Raw genomic sequence first — 22,467 nt, 5'->3', positions numbered from 1 at the left:
TGCAATATACCTCTGTAACAAACCTGCACATACATTTCCTGAAAGTAAAATAAAAGTTGAAAAAATAAATAAATACATACATACATAAAAATCTTTTCAGAAACACAGTGGAAGACATAAGTCACCAAGAAAGGAGATTGGAAAGAGAGCAGAAGAAAATTAATCTTAAAGAAAGGAATTGCTGCTGCAGCTGACTCTGAATACTGTTTCATAAGTAAGTAAGCTGCTGATGTTTTTATTGACATAGTATATCTCATTTCATCCAGGTTATATGAAAAGTTCAGTTATTATGTGGAAAACAGACTTTTAACATGCTTACATATTTGAATCAAGTTATCAGCTAATTAAAGCATCAACCCATGCCACACTATGGCAAAGTTTTTCCCAATTTTGCTCAATTTATTATGTTAAGAACATTAGCTTCGAACCTTCACGTAGAGAGAAACTCAGAACCAGAAAAACAAACTTCACCTGTTATCATCGTTTCCTCAATTAGGTTGTTTACAAAACTGGATTAGAGGGAAATTTTACTCTCATCTTTCATTTTCATTTCCAATCAGGTAACCATAGCCTCTGGGAGCTTAACAGGACATTGTGAAGTCTGTCTAGAGATGAAAACCAAACCACCACCATCACCACCACATTCTACGTATGCGGCACTTGTGAGAACAGAAAATACAATGGATAAAAGAAAATACTTTTTTTTCCAATTCCTAGGTAATATTTCTGTAAGAGCAAAGATATTTTGTATGTTTCAACCTGTTCATCTTTTTCATGCTTTTTGAAAAACTTAATATATTAATATAAAACAAACTTATATGTCCTTAACGATAGAAGAAATCCACATTGAAATAGTCAGAAACATATTCAGCAAACTATTTTTCTGATGAATTGGGTTAGATTGCAAATGGGAGCAGGCTCTGAAAGCAACCATTTTCTAAAGGAAAATAAATCTCTTTCTTTGAACTGTATCTGTAATTTTAGGGCTGCTGTACCTTCATTTTCCCCTCTGGGATCACGTCGGGTTACCAGTTTCTCAGAGCACAACCCTCTATGTAAAGAGTTTAGACGTAGTCGACTGCACAGAGACAACATAGCCAGTGTGAACTCCCTAATCATTTCCATCTGCTATTTATAAAACAAGTTTGGAAGAAACCAATAGCACATGTCAGGTAATTTGCCAATGATTCATTGCAGTGACAGGTTATGGTGTTATTGGGTTAATGTCAAGCATGGGAAAAGTCCCCAGACCTGAGTGATTTCCCAACATGAATTTGATTGGAATTCATTTCAGAATCCTCACGGTGGTAATGCATAAGACAAAATGGGCAGGTGGGCTGCCATGCCATGGTGGCAACATCAATAGCTTTTTACACAAGACTTCCATGTAAAGACACTCTGCAAACAGCAAAATGAGAATGGTGGGGTGAATTGTATTGGTCTATCTGAGTGCATGTTTCTCTGGAGGTATTGGCTTCTTCTTTGTATGGCCATCACCGGCTATTTATGTTTCAGCTCTGAAGGTGCAATCTGGGATTCTCTTTCATCATATCTGATAACCACACCCACACCTTCCTGGGAGAACTAGGAAACATTTCTTTGTGAGCCGTATGCAATTTTATCCCCAGATAATATTTTACTGAACTCTATCAGGGAAATCCTGTTAACTGAAAAGCAGCAACTTTATTATTCACCAACACTTTCTTGTATTTGCTTTTCCATTTATTTTTGTGCTGCTTATAGATGTTTTAATATTTTCTGAGTTTACATGTCTGTCTTGTGCATTCTTTACTTACATAGCCCTACTGGGAAAAGGGAAACAGAGTAGAAAATAATGAAAGGAGTTTTTCATTATATGCAAAATTTTAGAACTATCTTTTAATACATTCCCAGTGTTGTGCAACAATCACCTCTCTCTAGTGCCACAGCATTTTCAGCATTCCAGAATGAATTTCATAGCCATTAGCATTCAATTCCCAGACCTTTCTCCTCCTCCCCATCCCTGACAATTATAATCTACTTTTTATCTCTATGTATTGACTAATTTTGAATACTTTCTACAGACAGAATTATACATTATGAGGCCTTTTGTGTCTGGTTTCTTTCACTTGGCATGATGTATTTGAGGTTTGTCCACATTCAACATGTGTCAATTACTTCATGCCTATTTAGGGCTGCATACTATTTTATTTTATGCATATGCAACATTTTGCTTATCCACTCATCTGTTGATGGACTTTGGGTTGATTGCATCTCTTGACTATTATGAACAAAGATGCCTTGAGCATATATGTCCAGGGAGATCTTTGAGTCCTTGTTTTAGTTATTCTGGGTGTATACATATGAGTAGTATTGTTTAATCACTTATTGGGCCATCACTGGCTATTCATTTAAATTCCAGCTCTAAAAGTAAAATCTAGGATTCTCTTTCATCATGGCTGACAGCCAATCCCATGTCTCCCTGGGAGTAGGAACTAAGAACTGGGAAACATTTATTTCTATCTGTGATTTTGTCCCCAAATAATATTCTACTAACTTCTCTTAGGAAGATCTTGCCAACTTAAAAGCAGCAACTTTATTATTCACTGAGACTTTCTTGTGTTTGCTTTTCTTTTTTTATGCTACTTGTAGATGGCTCAGGATTACCTGAGTTGATCATATGGTCATGTAATATTCCACTTTTTGAGGAACTTCTATGCTGTCTTCTGTAGCCATTGAACCATTTCATAAACATATGAGTATTCCAATTTCTACACATACTTGTCAACACTCATTTTCTCTTTTATTGATTATAGTCATTCTAATAAGTATAGTTCCATTTTAATTGAAACCATTTAAATTTAATTACCGATAATAACTTTAATATAAAACTAGTTGTGTCTTAATATACCAGATTTAGAATCTTTACATTTTTCTTGAGTTTTATGTCTTAAAACCCCAGTAAACCAATAGCCTTAAATGATATGCCCCAACTAGTTTTAGAAGTGGCCGGCTGGGCGTGGTGGCTCAGGCCTGTAATCCCAGCACTTTGGGAGGCCAAAGTGGGAAGGTGACGAGGTCAGTAGATCGAGACCATCACCTGGCTAACATGGTCAATCCCCATCTCTAATAAAATACAAAAAAAAAAAAAAAAATAGCCAGGCGTAGTGGTGGGCACCTGTAGACCCAACTACTTGGGAGACCGAGGCAGGAGAATGGCATGAACCAGAAGAAGAAGAAATGGCCATCTCTTTCCAATAGTTTTCTAATAGTTTACATAATATGAAGCCAAGAAACACAAGCGTTTGCATAATGTAGGGGCTTTTGATACAAAGCCATGGGAATGTTATTCATAAATAAAAATTATCCTTCACAAGGCTAGGAAAATAGCTGACTTAACAGAAAGTAGATAAAGAATAATTAGTGATTGTCTTTTGTTTCTCATCAAATGGTTATGACGTTTTGTCCTCTTCCTTTCTAAGTAAAGAGGAAGTTTCAGAGGACAAATAAAAACATTTGATGTTGGAACCCTTAATCTTTCCCACTCAGGATCACAGATTAATCCATGTGCAAAGAAAAAAAAATAAAGCTTGGTCTTTGACTTCTGGAAGAACCTAAATTTTCATGTGAAAGTTTACTTAATTGACTGTATCTTCTCTTGACCAATCTGGACATAAGGATTCTTGTGTTATTTATTTATTTGTTTGTTTGTTTATTTATTTATTTATTTTGGAACAGGGTTTCTCTTTGTTGCTGAGGCTGGGGAGCAGTTATGTGATCACAACTCACTGCAGCCTCAACCTCCTCAGTTCAGGTGATCCTCCTGCCTCAGCCTCCTGTGTAGTAGCTGGAACCACCGGTGTGCACACCATGTTTGGCTATGTTCTAAAATTATTTGTAGAAATAGGTTCTTCTTTTGTTGCCCACAGTGGTCTGGAACTGAGCTCAAGTGATCCTCCTGCTTCAGCCTCTCAAATTGTTGTGATTACATGCATGAGCTACTGTGTCCAACCTAGATTCTTCTATTTTAGTCTGTTTTGTTGGACAAGAGGTTTGTGTGCATTCCATATATATAAATATAAAGTTATGTAGGTGTGCATATGTGTATATATAATCATTCTTCTCCAATTTACTTATGTTTTATAGGTTTATTATTAACATTTTACATTTTTATTAATAAATTACAAAAGAACTTTGTATTTGCCCAGGCTTATAAGAAACAAAATTTGAAACAATAAAACTTGTTCATGAACACATTTTCAGCAAATAAAATTCCACGGAAGAAAAATGAGGGGCAAATGAAGTACAATGGGGAGAGAAAGGTGAATCTCAGTGTGCAAATTACCTGACTGGCCAAATCTTCAGGACAAGCTGAGACCTCAGTCTCTTAACAGAGACTTCATGGAACCCTGGCTACCAAAGACTCTTGCAAAGGGAAAAGCAGAGAATATGTTATTATTGTCAGAAGCTTACATATTTTCAAAATTATCCTCAAGGAGCATCAGCCCTTAACACTTCAGAATTCTTCAGTGCAGTTCCTGCAATAAAGGACCAGTGAGCCCTAAAGCTGAGACTCCCTCCCACTTGGTCTTTGGTACACAGCAGCCTCCTAGACCCACTGTGGGCACCAAACTGGCCCAGAAGCCTTGTATGACTCAGAAACAGCAGAGAGCTGCAGACCGAGGTGCAGCTGAGGGTACCTGAGAAACAGAGAGTAGAAGCCAGAGTGCACTTCAGTGTGCAAACATAAGCATCATTTTGCAAAGACAATTTTTCAATGGACACGGCTCCCACTGTGGTCAACTGTCTTGAGGTAGACCATATGCCTGCTATATCATCCCAGGAAAAGTCTACTAAAAGGTTTCCAACTGTGATCATTGTTCATGTTTTTTTATTGTTTTATTTTATTTTTATTTTTTAATTTTTTTTAAATTTTATTATTATTATACTTTAAGTTTTAGGGTACATGTGCATGATGTGCAGGTTTGTTACATATGTATACATGTGACATGCTGGTATGCTGCACCCATTAACTCGTCATTTAGCATTAGGTATATCTCCTAATGCTATCCTTCCCCCCTCCCCCCACCCCACAACAGTCCCCGGTGTGTGATGTTCCCCCTCCTGTGTCCATGTGTTCTCATTGTTCAATTCCCACCTATGAGTGAGAACATGCAGTGTTTGGTTTTTTGTCCTTGCGACAGTTTGCTGGGAATGATGGTTTCCAGCTTCATCCATGTCCCTACAAAGGACATGAACTCATCATTTTTTATAGCTGCATAGTATTCCATGGTGTATATGTGCCATATTTTCTTAATCCAGTCTATTGTTGTTGGACATTTAGGATGGTTCCAAGTCTTTGCTATGGATGGGTTTGTAAACTTTGTTTTGATAAAAATGCAACTTTTTCTTTTAAAAAAAGGAGTATCCCCAAATGACTTAGATACATGTATTGGTCAGGGATCTCTAGGGCAATAGAACCAACAGAATATATACAGATAAATATATCATACAATACCTGAACTTAACAGCTAATCGCAGTACCATTCACAATAGCAAAGAAATGGAATCCACCTCAGTTACCATCAATAGAGGATGGAATAAGGAAAATGTGGTATGTATACACAATGGAATCCTATTCAGCCATAAAAAAATGATGAAACCATGTATTTTGCAGCAACATGGATGGAACTGGGGGCTGTTAAGTAAAATGAGTCAGACACAGAAACATAAATACTACATGTTCTCACAAGTAGGTGTTAAAATATCTGTACACATGGATGTAGAGAGTACTATAATAGATACTGTAGATTTGGAAGGGTGGGATGGTACAAAAACAGTAGAAGATGAGAAATTACTTAGTGGGTAGAATCTACATTATGTGGGTGATGAATATCCTAAAAGCCCTGACTTGATCACTGTGAGATCTATGCCTGTAACAAATTGCACTTGTACCCCTTAAATTCATGTAAGTAAATGATTTTAAAAGGAAAGATATTCATTATGGGAGATTCACTCATGGATTTGAGAGACTGAAATGTCCCACAGTCTGCTGTCTGTAAGCCAGGACCCAGGAAAGCAGGTGGTGTAGTTCTAGTTCAAGTCTGAAGACCTGAAAACAGAGGGGCTTTACGTCAAAGAGCAGGAGAAGATGGATGTCTCAGCTCAAGCTAGGAGTAAATTTTCCCTTTCTCCACCTTTTTATTCTATTTGGGCTTTTGGTTGATTGGACAATACCTACCTTCCCAAGTGGAGAGGGCAGATCGTCACTTAGTCTACTGATTGAAATGTTAATCTCTTTCAGAAACATCCTCTCAGAATCACCCAGAAATTATGTTTCCCCAGCTAGTTGGGCATCCCTTGATCTAGTCAAGTTGACATATACAGTCAACCATCATAGTACATCATAGTACATATGTACATAGTACATATTTTAGTTAGACCGTATTTAACATAGTACATATTTTAGTTAGACCGTATTTAACAATTTAGACCATATTTCATTCTTCCATTCGCATTTAATGATATCAGTCAAGAAACAAACAGGCAGTGGAGAAAAGATTCCGTTCTTAATTAAATGTCGGGAAAACTGGCCAGCCATATGCAGAAAACTGAAACTGGACCCCTTCTTTACACCTCATACAAAAATCAACTCAAGATGGATCAAAGACTTAAATATATGACCTGAAACCATAAAAATCCTGGAAGAAACCCTGTGCAATACCACTCAGGATGTAGGCATGAGCAAAGATTTCATGTCTAAAACAGAAAAAGCAATGGCAACCAAGCTAAAATTGAAAAATAAGATCTAATTAAACTAAAGAGCTTCTGCACAGCGAAAGGAACAGGCAACCTACAGAACAGGAGAAAATTTTAGTAGTCTATCCATCTGACAAAGGGCTAATATCCAGAATCCACAAAGAACTTAAACAAATTTACCAGAAAAAAACAACCCCATCAAAAAGTAGCCAAAGGATATGAACAGACACTTCTCCAAAGAAGACATTTATGCAGGCAAAAGACATATGAAAAAATGCTCAACACTGGTCATAAGAGATGCAAATCAAAACCACAATGAGACCATCTACACCAGTTAGAATGGCGATCATTAAAAAGTCAGGAAACAACAGATGCTGGAGAGGATGCAGAGAAACAGGAACACTTTTACACTGTTTGTGGGAGTGTAAATTAGTTCAACCTTTGTGGAAGACAGTGTAGTGTTTCCTCAAGGATGTAGAACTAGAAATACCATTTGACCCAGGAATCCCATTACTGGGTATATACCCGAAGGATTATAAATCATTCCACTATAAAGACACATGCACACGTGGGTTTATTGTGGCACTATTCACAATAGCAAAGACTTGGAACCAACCCAAATGTTCATAAATGATAGACTGGATAAAGAAAATGTGGCACATATACACCATGAAATACTATGCAGCCATAAAAAAGGATAAGTTCATGTCCTTTTCAGGGAAATGGATGAAGCTGGAAACAATCATTCTCAGCAAACTAACGTAAGAACAGAAAACCAAACACTGCATGTTCTCACTCATAAGTGAGAGTTGAACAATGAGAACACATGGACACAGGGAGGGGAACATCCCACACTAGGGCCTGTCAGGAGGAGGGGAGCTAGGGGAGGGACAACATTAGGAAAAATACCCAAGGTAGGTGATGCGTTGACAGGTGCAGCTAGCCACCATGGCACATGTATATCTATGTAACAAAACTGCACGTTCTGCACATGTACCCCAGAATTTAAAATTATGTATATGTCCATTTCTAATTTGTAATTTGTAATAATTTACTTCAAATCTTTTTGGAAGGATATGAACAAAATAGTGAAATATTTGAAGTATATGAACAAAATGGTGAAGGCAAAATTTAAGCACAAAATCCTACCCTGGCCCTAACCCAAACATGGCTTATTTATGGTACTTGTTTTCCAAGATATCATGTTCATGTGACCACACCAAAGGGAAACATCAGGAAGAAACTATTTGATTCACAACTTATGGCCACCTACAAGCTTGACATGTGTGTCGGCACCACTTCTGGACACATGGGAGGAGAGAAAATGATCTTTTCCTTAACATCTGAGTTGGAGGTTATAGCCTCAGGGAGGTAATATTTTAAGCCTGATTCCTTTTATGAATTCCCACAGTAAAAACACAGAGCAGCATTCACCACACACTTTATGTTCCCCTTCAAATTGCAGCTAAGTTCCCTTTCCCAGGCTGTAAAAATTCCTAAATTCCATTTTTTCCTATCCATGATATTTGATTTATTACATGCCATGCAGTCAGAGAGATATCTAGCCCTTGATGGAAATCACCTTTATTTGGGTGGTTAATACCCTGAGGACCTCATTAAAATGTGTGTGTGTGTGTGTGTGTGTATATATATATATATATATATATATATATATATATATATGATATTAAAGAATATTATTTTCTTAATCTTGATAGACTAGTATTTCAACATCATCAAACTCTTTTATGCATAAGGTGACCTATGGACACAATACACCTAAACTTTCTGTTTGTGAACAAAGACCAGGAATAGTAAATAATCTCCATATCTCATGATTGGTGAAGCCAGAATTTAAGCACAAAAAAACCTTCCCTAACCCTAACCCTAACACTAACCAAGCACTGGCCCTTCCAGGATTTGAGTTTTAGTTTGTTTGTGAAAAACAGTCTAGCTCTGCTACCCAGGCTGGAGTGCGGTGGGTGGTATAATCACAGCTCATGGAAGCCTCATGGCAGTGTTGTAGAACTCAGAGACAGCAGAGAGCTGCAGACCAAAGCACAGCTGAGGATGCTGGAGAACCAGACAGCAGAAACAAGAGTGCACTTCAGTCAAATTTAGGTGCATCAAAAGGAGAAGGGTGAAACTGAGAATTCAAAAGCTTTGGAGAATTGAGTATTTTGTATCAGTTGTATAATAATAAACCTTTCTTCTCCTTTTGATGTAGCCTAAATGTGATCTGATTTCCATTCTACATCAACAAGAAGAATATTTTCACTGCAATTCAGGCAGATCAAGGTATTATGGCAGAATGAAAATGCAATTCTAGCAGGACTAATTGGTGTTGCTTTGAGGGACAAATTAAATTCTTTTGCCAAATATTTTAATAGCTATGTTCTCCTTTTCTTTTTATGTTTTTATTAGTCCACCTTTTTATTTTATTTGGCTTCCTTTTGGCTTTAGTTATTTCTACTTTCCCAAGTTCAATGCATAATTCATTGGATTTTTATTTTCTTGATGCATAATAAATGTTTCTATTATGCAACTTTTACTCAGTATACTACTTCAGCCATTCCTTAAAGGTTTCTATATGGATTTGCCTTTAATGACTGTTTCTAATTGATTAAAGTTCTAATAAAAGTTTTTATTTAATTATCAGCCTAAACATTTATTTGGAAGAATGTTATTAAATTCCTAATACAGAGGGTTTATGTTTTTAATTTTTTGTCTTATGTTGAAAATATATAATTTTATTGCATTGTGATTAATGATTTTTTTTTTTTAGAGTGTGGTTAGGGATATGTTGATGGACTTTTTGCCTTAATGCATGGAAAGGATACAGACAAAAAAGAAAAAAGGTGATGATAACATGCTGAATACCTGTCTTCTATCCAATTGCTATTTTGTCAGGTGTTTAGAGTATCTAATATTTTGTATTATTGGTCTTAACCACTAGAATCACAAGATACCAATAAACCTTTCTTCTTACTTAACTTTGGTACAATTTCTTATGCAACAATTCATAAAAAATATTCATTAATTCTCCAAAGCTTTTGAATTGTCAATTTAACCCTTCTCTTTCGATGCACTAATATCAACCTATACATGAAGTCTGCCTTTTGATCCAGTTTGCTAATTAATAAATGTTTCATGGAAGTTACACTTGAGGAAGACTTTTGATAGAAATACCCATGTATATTTCCTTTCAGTTTATAAATTTTCTCAGTATGGAAAACCTCTACACTTAGAGTTTCCCAAAAAAACTAAAAATAAAGCTGCCATTTGATCCAGCAATTCAACTACTGAATATGTCATGAAGAAAGGAAATAAGTATATTGAAGGACATCTACACATTCATGTTAATCAGCACTATTCACAATAGCCAAAATATGGAATCTGCCTAAATGGCCCTCAACGGACAAACGAATAAAGAAAATGTGGTATATATTCAAAATGGAAGACTAGTCAGCCATAAAAAAAATAATGAAATCTTGTCTTTTGCAGCAACATACATGGAATAAGAGAGCATTAGCTGAAATTAGCCATGAAGAGAAAGACAGACATTGCATGCTCTCACTACATGTGGAGCTTACAAGTGGATTTCAGCTGGCCACGGTGGCTCATGCCTGTAATCCCAGCACTTTGGAACGTCTAGCTGGGCAGATCATGAGGTCAGTAAATTGAGTCCATCCTGGCTAACATGGTGAAACCCCATCTCTATTAAAATACAAAAAAAACTTAGCCAGACATGGTAGCACGTGCCTGTAGTCCCAGCTACTCAGGAGGCTGAGGCAAGGAAATCACTTGAAGCCAGGAGGCAGAGGTTGTGGTGAGCCAAGATCGCGCCACTGCAGTACAGCTTGGCAACAGAGCATGACTCTGTCTCAAAAAACAAACAAACAAACAAAAACAAATGGAATTTCATTTCATGGAGCTAGAGAGAGTAGAATGATGGTTACCAAAGGCTGGGAAGGGTGGGGGGGTTGAGAGAATGAAGAGAAGGTGGTTAATGAGTACAAAAATATGGTTAGAAGATATAATTATGTTTTAGTATTTTATAGTACAGTAAAAAAATTAAAGTTAACAATAAAATGTACTTCAACATATCTAGAAGAATTGCAATGTTCCCAACACAAATATTAAAAGCAAAGGTTTAAGGTAATGGATGTCCTAATCACCCTGATTTGATCAGTACTGCACATTGTGTACCTGTATCAAATTACCATATGCACCCCAAATTATGTACAATTATGATATAGCAATATAAAATACAAAAGGAAAGAAGTAAATTTTCAACTTAGTAAGAGTTGTTTAAATCCATCTTCCTCCAATTTCTTTTTTTTCTTGCATTTCCATTATCTTTTAGTCTCAAATATTTCTAACACCCATTAGGAATTCTTCAACTCATAGGTAATTTGTAAGTGTGTTTTAAAAATTCCAAATAAGAAATTTTGATAATTAGCTCAAAAATTTTTAACTAGGTTGGGATATGGTCAGATAACTTCACTGATACCTTGAAATATCTTAAGACTTCTTTTCTGGACAAAGTAAGTGGTCAATTTCCATCAATTTTCCATATATGCTTGAAAAGACTATGTACTCTTTTCATATACTGTTGTGTCTGTCCCTTAGATCAAGCTGATAACCATAGGACATTTGAACTTTCACAGTGCCTTTTCATCTCAGTCTACTCTAATAACAGACCAGCTCCCTTTCGGTTACAATCTTTGTCTCCTAACCAGAAAGTTTCATCAACGGAATTTTATTTACAGCTTTATCATCCATATATCACTACAATTCACCTGAGTTTAGTCAACCTGCATTCATTTTAATTGCCTGAAGCTTTGGATATAATCTTCCATCTCACTTTTTATCTTCCATTTGCTTCACTCTCTCTCTAGGTTTTATTCTTTCTTTCTCTTTTCCCTTGGTCCAATGCACGTGGCCCAATTCACAGGTGTTGACCCTGGGAAGGTACAGTTCCCTTGCTCCCTCTGAATTCTGAGGTGAAACGCCTCTGGTCATTGAGGAACAGAAAGGAATGAGACCTCCATAGGCCAAAGTCAAGAGATGGGGGAGGAGCCAGGCATTCTGCCCCAGTAGGCACCATGCCTGGACATGCCCACTCACCACACCTCAGGGTTGTCCTCCTTTCTGGCGAGCTGTGGACTAACGTGGCCTGGCAACAAAGGCCACCCTCTTCAGTCCTGTGGCCCCTGAGAACACAGGCAGGAGGAGAAGGGGCAGTGACCGTTGTTCCTCCTTCCTGACTCTGCAGACCTCCGGGAAGCTTTCAAGCCCAGCAGTCTGGCTCATCCTTTCCCTGGGTCTGATGGACCCAGGCTGCATTTTCAAGGATGATGCTGAAATATTCTCTTTCATATGCGTGATCTGAGACCTCACTACTCAGCAGAGAACGACTGGGTCCCCTTCACAGGGAGTGACCGAGGTCCGTGGAGATCCTGGGAATAGCCAGCATCAAGGATTGAGAGGGTCCCCTGGAGCCTCACAAGATGGAAGATGGCAGCCCAACATGGGAAAGGCCCAGGCTGGGCCAGGCCAGGCCCTCCTGCTAGGCCTGCAAGCTCCAGGTCCTGCAGCAGGATACAGTTCTTGTGGGCTCTGAGCATTCGGTGCTGGATGTGGGCCACCTTCTTCTTGTGCAGGTTCTGCTGCCAGCAGGTCTTGGCACTGATGCATCTTCTCTACCACGCCTGAGTTGCGCTTCTCCCACTCGCTGTGCTGCTGGGCGCTGTGATTCTCCTTGGGCTTCAGGGCCTCCTGCAGCAGGCAATCATCGTGGTGGATCATCACATCCTCTGTCTTGTACAGGAGATTGGTCCACTTCATCTTGGCCTACAGCTGCTGTGCCTTCCCCTCACCCTGGCCACTCAGCTCATCCAGATGCTTCAGCAGCTGCAGGTAGTTCCTCCCTGTCAGTGGTGTAAGTTTCCTTTCCCTTCACACTCTGCTTCTTCTTTCTGCACTGCTACTTGCTGGCTGACTCCTCTTTGCTCACCTACACCTTGTTGAAGATCAGTCCTGGAGGCTCCTGCAGCTTCCTGCAGGCCCCTTCAGGGGTTGGCTTGACTGCCTACAGGGCCTTTGTAACCTCCTCAGCCTTCTTGGTCTTCTATTTTGCCCACAGCTCCTCTCGCTTCTTCTTTTGCCAGTCCCGTTCCCTCTTTCTCCACCGCCTTTACTCCAGGGCAGCAGGGGACAGCTCCTTGGCACTGCCCTGGCCCCAGGCCTCCTGGATCTTCTCATGAAGTTGCAGTCGCAGAACATCCAGGCCAAAGAGAGACTCAAGGTCTGTGGCCAGGACATCTGTAGGGATCCCTGTGCAGCTGGATGCTGAATCTGCCTCCTTTTTGTCTGCCTCAGGCTTCCTGGCCCAAGATGGCTGCTGGAGACTTGGTGAGAGGTGACAGTGTGCTGGCAGCCCTTGCTTGCTTTGGGCACCTTCTCTGCCTTGGGTCCACTCTGGCCACACTTGAGGAGCCCTTGATCCTGCTGCTGCACTGTGGGAGCCCCTCTCTGGACTGGCTGAGGCTGGAGCTGGCTCCCTCTGCAGGGAGGTGTGGATGGAGATGCGTGGGTGGGAACTGAGGCTGCAGGAGGCTGTCCTGGGCCAGCCAGAGTTCTGGGTGGGCCATCTTGGCATGCCACACTCGGAAGGGCTGGCCGGTGCCTCTGCTCAGGCAGTGAGGGTCTTAGCACCCAGGCTAGCAGCTGCAGAGGGTACACCCATCTCCCAGCACCGCCGGCCTGCCCTCCCAGTGGTCAAATTCTCTCTGGGCCTCAGCCGCTGCCCTGTAGGGCAGGGCTTGGGTCCTGCAGCCCACCATGCTTGAGCCTGGTTGGGAGGAATGAACAACTCCAGACACGCTGTCTTTAAGAGCTGTAACACCGCCAAGGTCTGCAGCTTCACTCCTGAAGTCAGGGAGACCAGGAACCCAACAAAAGGAAGAAACTCTGGACACATCTGAATATCTGAAGGCAAAAACTCTGGACACACCATCTTTAAGAACTGTAACACTCACTGCAAGTGTCCGTGTCTTCATTCTTTAAGTAAGTGAGACCAAGAACTCACCAATTCTAGACACATTTTGGCAACCACAAAGAGACTATCACCAAGCGGTGAGACTATTGCCAAGTAGTGAGACCATCACCTATCACCAAGTGGTGAGACTATCACCTATCACCAAGCAGTGAGTATCGTCAGACCCCTTTCTCTTGCTATTCTGTCCTATTTTTCCTTAGAATTTTGGGGCTAAATACCGGGCACCTGTCAGCCAGTTAAAAGCAACTAGTGTGGCCACCAGACTAAAGAAGTGGGTGTCACGCTTTCTTGGAAAAGGCTCTCTAACAAACCCTGACTCTTTGGAGTTGGGAGCATTGGTTTGCCTGGAATCAGCTTCCACTTTTCCTGTACTTCTAGGCTGAGCCCAGGATCAACAGAGAGGAAAGCCATTCAGCTCTGGGGTCCCGACAACAAGTTAGTTAACCCTGCAGCCATGAGCAGATCTCTGAAAGGCATGTCACCCAAGTGAGACTCACACATCTATCCAATCTATCCTGACCCTTGCCTCCTGGGTCCTAATGAAGTTTGCCAGACAAACTTCATCTTGCCTCTCTTCTCTGAGGCTAATCCTACTTCTAAAAATCACTCCCTGTCTCTGGTGATTTTCTAGTTTCTCCTATAAGAATGACTTCTAGTATAAACTACAGGACTCTGTTATTTCTTTAGGCACCCTGGCTCACTGATCAGAAAGACATAATCTTTGCCCAAAGCCCTATCATGGGGGACTATCTGGAATGTTAGGATCCCTCCTCAGACTAACAGGCCTAACAAAAGCTATTCTTGAAGCCAGGATAGGGGGAGCCTTAGAAATTCTATCCTTCCTATTCGTATAAGTGAACACAAAAGTGTCACTCTTCCAACCCTGGACATCCCTTCCCTCCCTTAGGGATCCTAACAGGAGAATGCTTAAGACGCTAACAGGTTTTTGAGAATGCATTGGTAAGGGCCACTAAATCCAATTTTTCTTTGTCCTCTTTGGGTCTAGGAGGACAGGCAAGGTTGCAGGTTTTCAAGAATGTGTCGGTAAGGGCCACTAAGTCTGACCTCCCTTGGTCCTCCTTGTGTTCTGGGAGGAAAACTAGTGTTTCTGCTGCTGCATCAGTGAGCTTAACTATTCTGATAAGCAGAGTCCAGGGATCGTTGTGGGTTCTTGGGCAGGGGGAGAAACAAAACAAATTGAAACCATGGGTAGTTTTGTCTTTCAGTTTGGAAACACTCAGTCATCAACAGGCTCACCCTTGAAATGCATCCTAAGCCATTGAGACAAATTTGACCCACAAACCCTGAAAAACAGGTGGCTCATTTTTTTCTGCACTATGGCCTGGCCCCAATATTCTCTCTGTGATGGGGAAAAATGGCCACCTGAGGGAAGTACAAATTACAATACTATCCTGCAGCATGACCTTTTCTGTAAGAGGGAAGGCAACTGGAGTGAAATACCTTATATGCAAGCTTTATTTTCATTGAAGGAGAATACAAAATTATGCAAAGTTTGCAACTTACATCCCACTAGAGGACCTCTCAGCTTACCCCCATATCCTAGCCTCCCTATAGCTCCCCTTCCTATTAATGATCAGCCTCCTCTAATCTCCCCCACCCAGAAGGAAATAAGCAAAGAAATCTCCAAGGGACCACAACGCCCCCTGCCCAGGCTATCAGTTATGTCTCCTTCAAGCTGTTGGAGGAAGAGAATTTGACCAAAGCTGTATACATGTCTCTTTCTCCCTCTATGATTTAAAACAGATCAAGGCAGACCTAGGGAAGTTTTCAGATGATGCTGATAAGTACATATATGTCCTAAAGGGTCTAGGACAAACCTTTGGCCTCGCTTGGAGAGATGTCATGCTACTGTTAGATCAAACCCTGGCCTTTAATGAAAAGAATGAAGCTTTAGCTGCAGCCTGAGAGTTTGGAGATACATGGTATCTTAGTCAAGTAAAAGATAGAATGCCAGCTGAAGAAAGGGACAAATTCCCTAGTAGTCAGCAAGCTACCCCCAGTATGTATCCCCACTGGGACCTTGACTCAGATCATAGGGACTGGAGTAGTAAATATCTGTTCACCTGTGTTCTAGAAGGACTAAAGAGAACTACGAAAAAGCCCATGAATTATTCAATGATGTCCACCATAGCTCATGGAAAGGAAGAAAATCCTTCTGCCTTCCTCGAATGGCTATGGGAGACCTTAAGAAAATATACTTCCCTGTCACCCGAATCACTTCAGTGAGGGTCAATTGATTCTAAAAGATAAATTTATTACCCAATCAGCTGCAGATATCAAGAGAAAGCTCCAAAAGGAAGCCCTGGGCCCTGAACAAAATTTGGAGGCATTATTATACCTGGCAACCTCAGCGTTCTATAATAGGGACCAAGAAGAACAGGACCAAAAGGAAAAGCAAGATCAGAGAAAGGCCGCAGCCTTAGTCATGGTCCTCAGACAAACACACCTTGGTGGTTCAGAGAGGACAGAAAATGGAGCAGGCCAATCACCTAGTAGGGCTTGTTACCAGTGTGATTTGCAAGGGCACTTTAAAAAAGATTGTCCATTGAGAAACAAGCTGCCCCCATGTCCATGTCCAGTATGCCAAGGCAATCACTGGAAGGTGCACTGCCCCAGAGGATAAAGGTTCTCTGGGTCAGAAGCCCCCAACCAGATGATCCAACAACAGGAATGAGGGTGCCTGGGGCAAGCACCAGCTCATGTCATCACCCTCAGTGAGCCCCAGGTATGTTTAACCATTGAGGGCCAGGAAATTGACTTCCTGCTGGACACTGGCATGGCTTTCTCAGTGTTAATCTCCTGTCCTGGATGACTGTCCTCAAGGTCCATTACCATCTGAGGGCTCCTGGGACAGCCTGTAACCAGGTATTTCTCCCATCTCCTCAGTTGTAATAGGGAGACTTTACTCTTTTCACATGTTTTTCTTGTTATGCTTGAAAGTCCCACACCCTTATTAGGGAGGGATATATATATGCCAAGGCTGGAGCTATTATCTACATGAATATGGGGAACAAGTTACCCATATTTTGTCTCCTACTTGAGGAGGGAATCGACCCTGAAGTCTGGGCATTGGAAGGACAATTTGGAAGGGCAAAAAATGCCCACCCACTCCAAGTCAAGCTCAAAGACCCCACCACTTTTCCTTATCAAAGACAATATTCCTTAAGGCTTGAAGCTCATAAAGGATTACAGGATATTGTTAAACATTTAAAAGCTCAAGCCTGAGTAAGGAAATGCAGCAATACCTGCAACACCCCAATTCTATGAGTAGAAAAATTGAACAGTCAGGGGAGACTAGGACAAGATCTTAGACTCATCACTGAGGCAGTAATTTCTCTATATCCAGTTGCACCCAACACCTATACCCTGCTCTCTCAAATACCAGAGGAATCAGAATGGTTCATGGTTCTGGACCTCAAGAATAACTTCTTCTTTATTCCCCTGCACTCTGACTCCCAATTTCTCTTTGCCTTTGAGGATCCCACAGACCACATGTCCCAAATTACGTGGACAGTCTTGCCCCAAGGGTTTAGGGATAGGCTTCACCTGTTTGGTCAGGCACTGGCCCAAGATCTAGGCCACTTCTCAAATCCAGCCACTCTGGTCCTTCAGTATGTGGATGATTTACTTTTGGCTACCAGTTCTCAAGCCTCATGCCAGCAGGCTACTCTAGATCTCTTGAACTTTCTAGCTAATCAAGGGTACAAGCTGTTTAGGTCAAAGGCCCAGCTTTGCCTACAGCAGGCCAAATATCTAGGCTTAATCATAGCCAGAGGGACCAAGGCCCTCAGCAAGGAATGAAAACAGCCCATTCTGGCTTATCGTCACCCTAAGACATTAAAACAGTTGTAGGGGTTCCTTGGAATCACTGGCTTTTGCCGATTATGTATCCCAGGGAACAGCAAGATATCCAGGCCCCTCTATACTCTAATCAAGGAAACTCAGAAGGCAAATACTCATCTAGTAGAATAGGAACCAGAGGCAGAAACAACCTTCAAAACCTTAAAGCAGGCCCTAGTACAAGCTCCAGCTTTAAGCTTTCCCACAGCACAAAACTTCTCTTTATATATCACAGAGAGAGTAGGGATAGCTCTTGGATTTCTCCTCAGACTCATGGGACAACCCCACAACCAGTGGCATACCTAAATAAGGAAAATAATGTAGTAGCAAAAGGCTGGCCTCACTATTTAAGTGTAGTTGTGACAGTGGCTGTCTTAGTGTCAGAGGCTATCAAGATAATACAAGGAAAGGATCTCACTGTCTGGACTACTCATGATGTAAATGTCACACTAGGTGCCAAAGGAAGTTTATGGCTATCAGACAACTGCCTACTTAGATACCAGGCACTATTCCTTGAGGGACCAGTGTTTCAAATACACATGTGCATGACCGTCAACCCTGCCACTTTTCTCCCAGAGGATAGGGAACCAATGGAGCATGAGTGCCAACAGATTATAGTCCAGACTTATGCTGCCCAAGATGATCTATTGGAACTCCCCTTAGCTAATCCTGACCTTAACCTATATGTCAATGGAAGCTCATTTTTGAACAATTGGATATGAAGGGCAGGTTATGCCATAGCTATTGAGGTAACCACACTTGAAAGTAAGCCTCTTCCCCTGGGGACCGGTTCCCAGGGAGCAGAACTAGTGGCACTTACCAGAGCCTTAGAACTAGAAAAGGGAAAAAGAATAAATGCATATACAGATAGCAAGTATGCTTATCTAATCCTACCTGGCCATACTGCAATATGGAAAGAAAGGGAGTTCCTAACCTCTGAGGGAACCCCCATTAAATACAACAAGGAAATTATGGATTTATTGCACTTAATGAAAAGTCCAAGGAGGTGGCAGTCTTCCACTGCCAAAGCCATCGAAATGGGAAGGAGAGGAGAGAATAGCAGCATAAGTGGCTGGCAGAGCCAGGGAAAGATCAGCAAGAAGGAAAGAGAAAGAGAAAGTCAGAGAAAGAGAGAGGAAGAGACAGACACAGAAAGTCAAAGAGAGAGTCAGAAAGAGAGGAAGAGACAAAGAAGAAGTCAAAGAGAAAGAAAGAGAGATGGAACTAGTAGAGAAAAAAAACAATGTACCCTATTCCTTTAAAAGTCAAGGTAAAGTTCTGCCTACCCAGCCAAGGTATATTCTTCTTATGTGGAATGTTGACCTATATCTCCCCACTAACTGGAACGGCATCTGCACGTTAGTCTTTAACATTGCCCCAGGAAATCAGACCCTATCAGTACCCCTCAAAGCTCAAGTCTGTCAGTGCAGAGCCATAAAACTAGTACCCCTACTTATAGGGTTAGGAATGGCTGCCACTACAGGAACTGGAATAGCCAGTTTATCTACTTCATTATCCTATTACCACACACTCAAAGGATTTTTCAGACAGTTTGCAAGAAATAACTAAATCTATCCTTACTCTACAATCCCAAACAGACTCTTTGGCAGCAGTGACTCTCCAAAACCACTGAGGCCTAGACATCCTCACTGCTGAGAAAGGAGGACTCTGTACCTTCTTAGGAGAAGAGTGTTGTTTTTACACTAACCAGTCAGGGATTGTGCGAGATGCTGCCTGGTGTTTACAGGAAAAGACTTCTGAAATCAGACAATGCCTTTCAAATTCTTATACCAACCTCTAGAGTTAAGCAACATGGCTTCTCCCCTTTCTAGGTCCCGTGTCAGCCATCTGGCTATTACTTGCCTTTGGACCGTGTATTTTTAACCTCCTTGTTAAATTTGTTTACTCTAGAATTGAGGCCATCAAGGTGCAGATGGTCTTACAAATGGAACCCCAAACGAGTTCAACTAACAACTTCTACCGAGGACCCCTGGAGTGACCCACTGGCACTTCCACTAGCCTAGGGAGCTCCCCTCTGTAGGACACTACAACTGCAGGGCCCCTTCATCACCCCTATCCAACAGGAAGTAGCTAGAACGGTCATCGCCAAATTACCAACAACAGTTGGGGTGTCATGTTTAGAGAGGGGATTGAGAGGTGACAGCATGCTTGCAGTTCTCACTTGATCTCAGCATCTCGTTGGCCTTGGCATCCACTCTGGCCATGTTTGAGGAGGGTTTCAGCCCACTGCTGCACTGTGGGAGCTCCTCTCTGGACTGGCCAAGGCCAGAACTGGCTCCCTCTGTGGGGAGGTGTGGAGGGAGAGGTGTGGGTGGGAACCGAGGCTGTGCACACCCCTCATGCACCAGTGCGAGTTCTGGGTGGGTGCAGACTCAGTGGGACCTGCACTTGAAGCAGCCAGCTGGTGCCTCTGGCCCAGGCAGTGAGGGGCTTAACACCCAGGCCAGTGGCTGTGGAGGGTGTGCTGGGTCCCCCAGCACAGCTGGCCCACCTGCACCACACTTGAATTATCACCAGGCCTCAGCCACCTCCCCATGGGCAGGGCTTGGGACTTGCAGCCCAGCATGCCTGAGCCCCCCACAGTGGGCTCCTGTGCATCCTGGGCTTCCCTGCTGGGCACCGCCCCCTGCTCCACAGCACCCTGTCCCATCAACTGCCCAAGGGCTGAGGAGTGCAAGCGCTTGGTGTGGGACTGGCAGGCAGCTCCACCCACAGCCCTGGCATGGGATCCACTAGGCAAAGCCACCTGGGCTCCTATGTCAGGTGGGAACTTGTAGAACTTTTATGACTAGCTATAGGATTGTAAATGCACCAATCAGCACCCTGTTTCTAGCTCAAGGTTTGTAAAAGCAACAATCAGTGCTCTGTGTCTAGCTAATCTAGTGGGGACTTGGAGAACTTTAATGTCTAACTAGAGGATTGTAAATACAGAAATCAGCATTCTGTGTCTTGCTGAGGGATTGTAAGCACACCAATCAGCACCGTGTCAAAACAGACCAATCAGCTCTCTGTACAATGGGCCAATCAGTAGGATGTGGGGTCTGATAAGGGAATAAAAGCAGGCTGCCTGAGCCAGCAGTGGCAACCCAGTCAGGTCCCCTTCCACGCTGTGGAAGCTTTGTTCTTTCACTCTTCACAATAAATCTTGCTGCTGCTCACTCTTTAGGTCTGCGCCACCTTTATGAGCTGTAACACTCACTCCAATTTCTGCAGCTTTACTCACTGCTGAAGCCAGCGAGACCATGAACCCACTGGGAGGGACAAACAACTCTGGATGGGAGGAATGAACAACTCCAGAAATGCTGCCTTTAAGAGCTGTAACACTCACCGCCAAGGTCTGCAGCTTCACTCCTGAAGTCAACGAGAACATGAACCAACCAGAAGGAAGAAATTCCAAACACATCTGAACATCTGAAGACACAAACTCCAGACACACTATCCTTAAGAACTGTAACACTCACCACGAGGGCCTGTGGCTTCATTCTTGAAGTCAGCAAGACCAAGAACCCACCAATTCTGGACACAGTGGGACTAGGCCTTGTGCTCAGCAGCCTTATCTTCTCCCTTCTGGAAATTTTATGTGTATTTTCTTCCTTTTCTTTTTTTGGGGCCCTACAGTTTCTGAGCCTTGAGTTTTGCCAGCCCACATACCCACCTCTGACTCTGGGCTGGCTGGGAGGAGATCTTCCTGGCCAGGCTCTGCAGGCTGGCATCTTTAGCAAGCAGAAATGCCATGGCATCAGTCCAGGCTGCCCCTGACTCACACTGTCCAGCAGTGGGTGTGACCCTCACCATCTCTGCCAGAAATCACTGCATGAGCAAGGGCCACCAGACTGGCATCCAGCTGCCAGCCCAAGGGTGATTAGTCAGGCCTGGTTCCACCAATTTCTAAATAGGATACACATTCATAACTTTCTCCATAGCATATATTGTTTTAAGTCTGTAACTTCTGGAGTGAAAACACTTGAGCTGAATCATGATGTTACTGAAATATAAGGAGTTCGGTCTAGGTCTTGCTACTCACCACAGGGAAAGCCAATCACTAAGACAACCAGCATTGCCCCTGGGAAAAGGCTTTAAATCAGATGCTGCAGCCAATGAGATGGAAGATCAATCAGACTCAAATCCATCTCCCTGACTGATTAAAATCAGGGGTTTATATAGCAGGGAAGAAATGCAATTGTGTGTGAGGAAACAGGAACTCAGGAGGGGTAAGGAAGCAATTGTGATGAATGAGGGACCTTGTCTTGATGCTATGATCTCATGATTTTCAGTTCTTTGATACATTTTAAGATGCCTAGTGGTCCTTTTCTGAAGAAGAAACACAGATAAAACAAAGTAAGTTTCAAGCTTCAAGGCCAGAGCCGTCCATGTCCATGTTTATCCAGGAAAAAAACTGTGTATGTGACGATTTGGTTGATTTCAGTGGCTGAAAAGCACTCACAAGAAAAGTCCCCTCTATTGCTTCAGGCTCTAATTACATATATATATTTTGTTTGTTTGTTTGTTTGTTTGTTTTGAGATGGATTCTCACTCTATCGCCCAGGCTGGAGTGCAGTGACACAATCTTGGCTCACTGCGAGCTCTGCCTCCCGGGTTCAAGCCATTCTCCTACCTCCGCCTCCCGAGGAGCTGGGACTACAGGCACCCACCACCACACCCAGCTAAATTTTTGTATTTTTAGTAGAGATGGGGTTTCACCGTGTTAGCCAGGATGCTCTCAAACTCCTGACCTTGTGATCCACCCACCTTGGCCTCCCAAAGTGCTGGGATTACAGGAGTGA

At 42.2% G+C, this 22,467-nt stretch overlaps 1 pseudogene; it reads right to left on the bottom strand.

The window, feature by feature from the left end:
* Nucleotides 11,193-21,473, bottom strand: SURF6P1 (surfeit 6 pseudogene 1; annotated as a pseudogene).

This window comes from Homo sapiens, chromosome Y (genome assembly GCF_000001405.40).
Source record: "Homo sapiens chromosome Y, GRCh38.p14 Primary Assembly".
Taxonomy (NCBI): Eukaryota; Metazoa; Chordata; class Mammalia; order Primates; family Hominidae; genus Homo; species Homo sapiens.
Note: the sequence above shows the minus strand (reverse complement) of the source record. Positions and strands in the feature narration are given on the sequence as shown.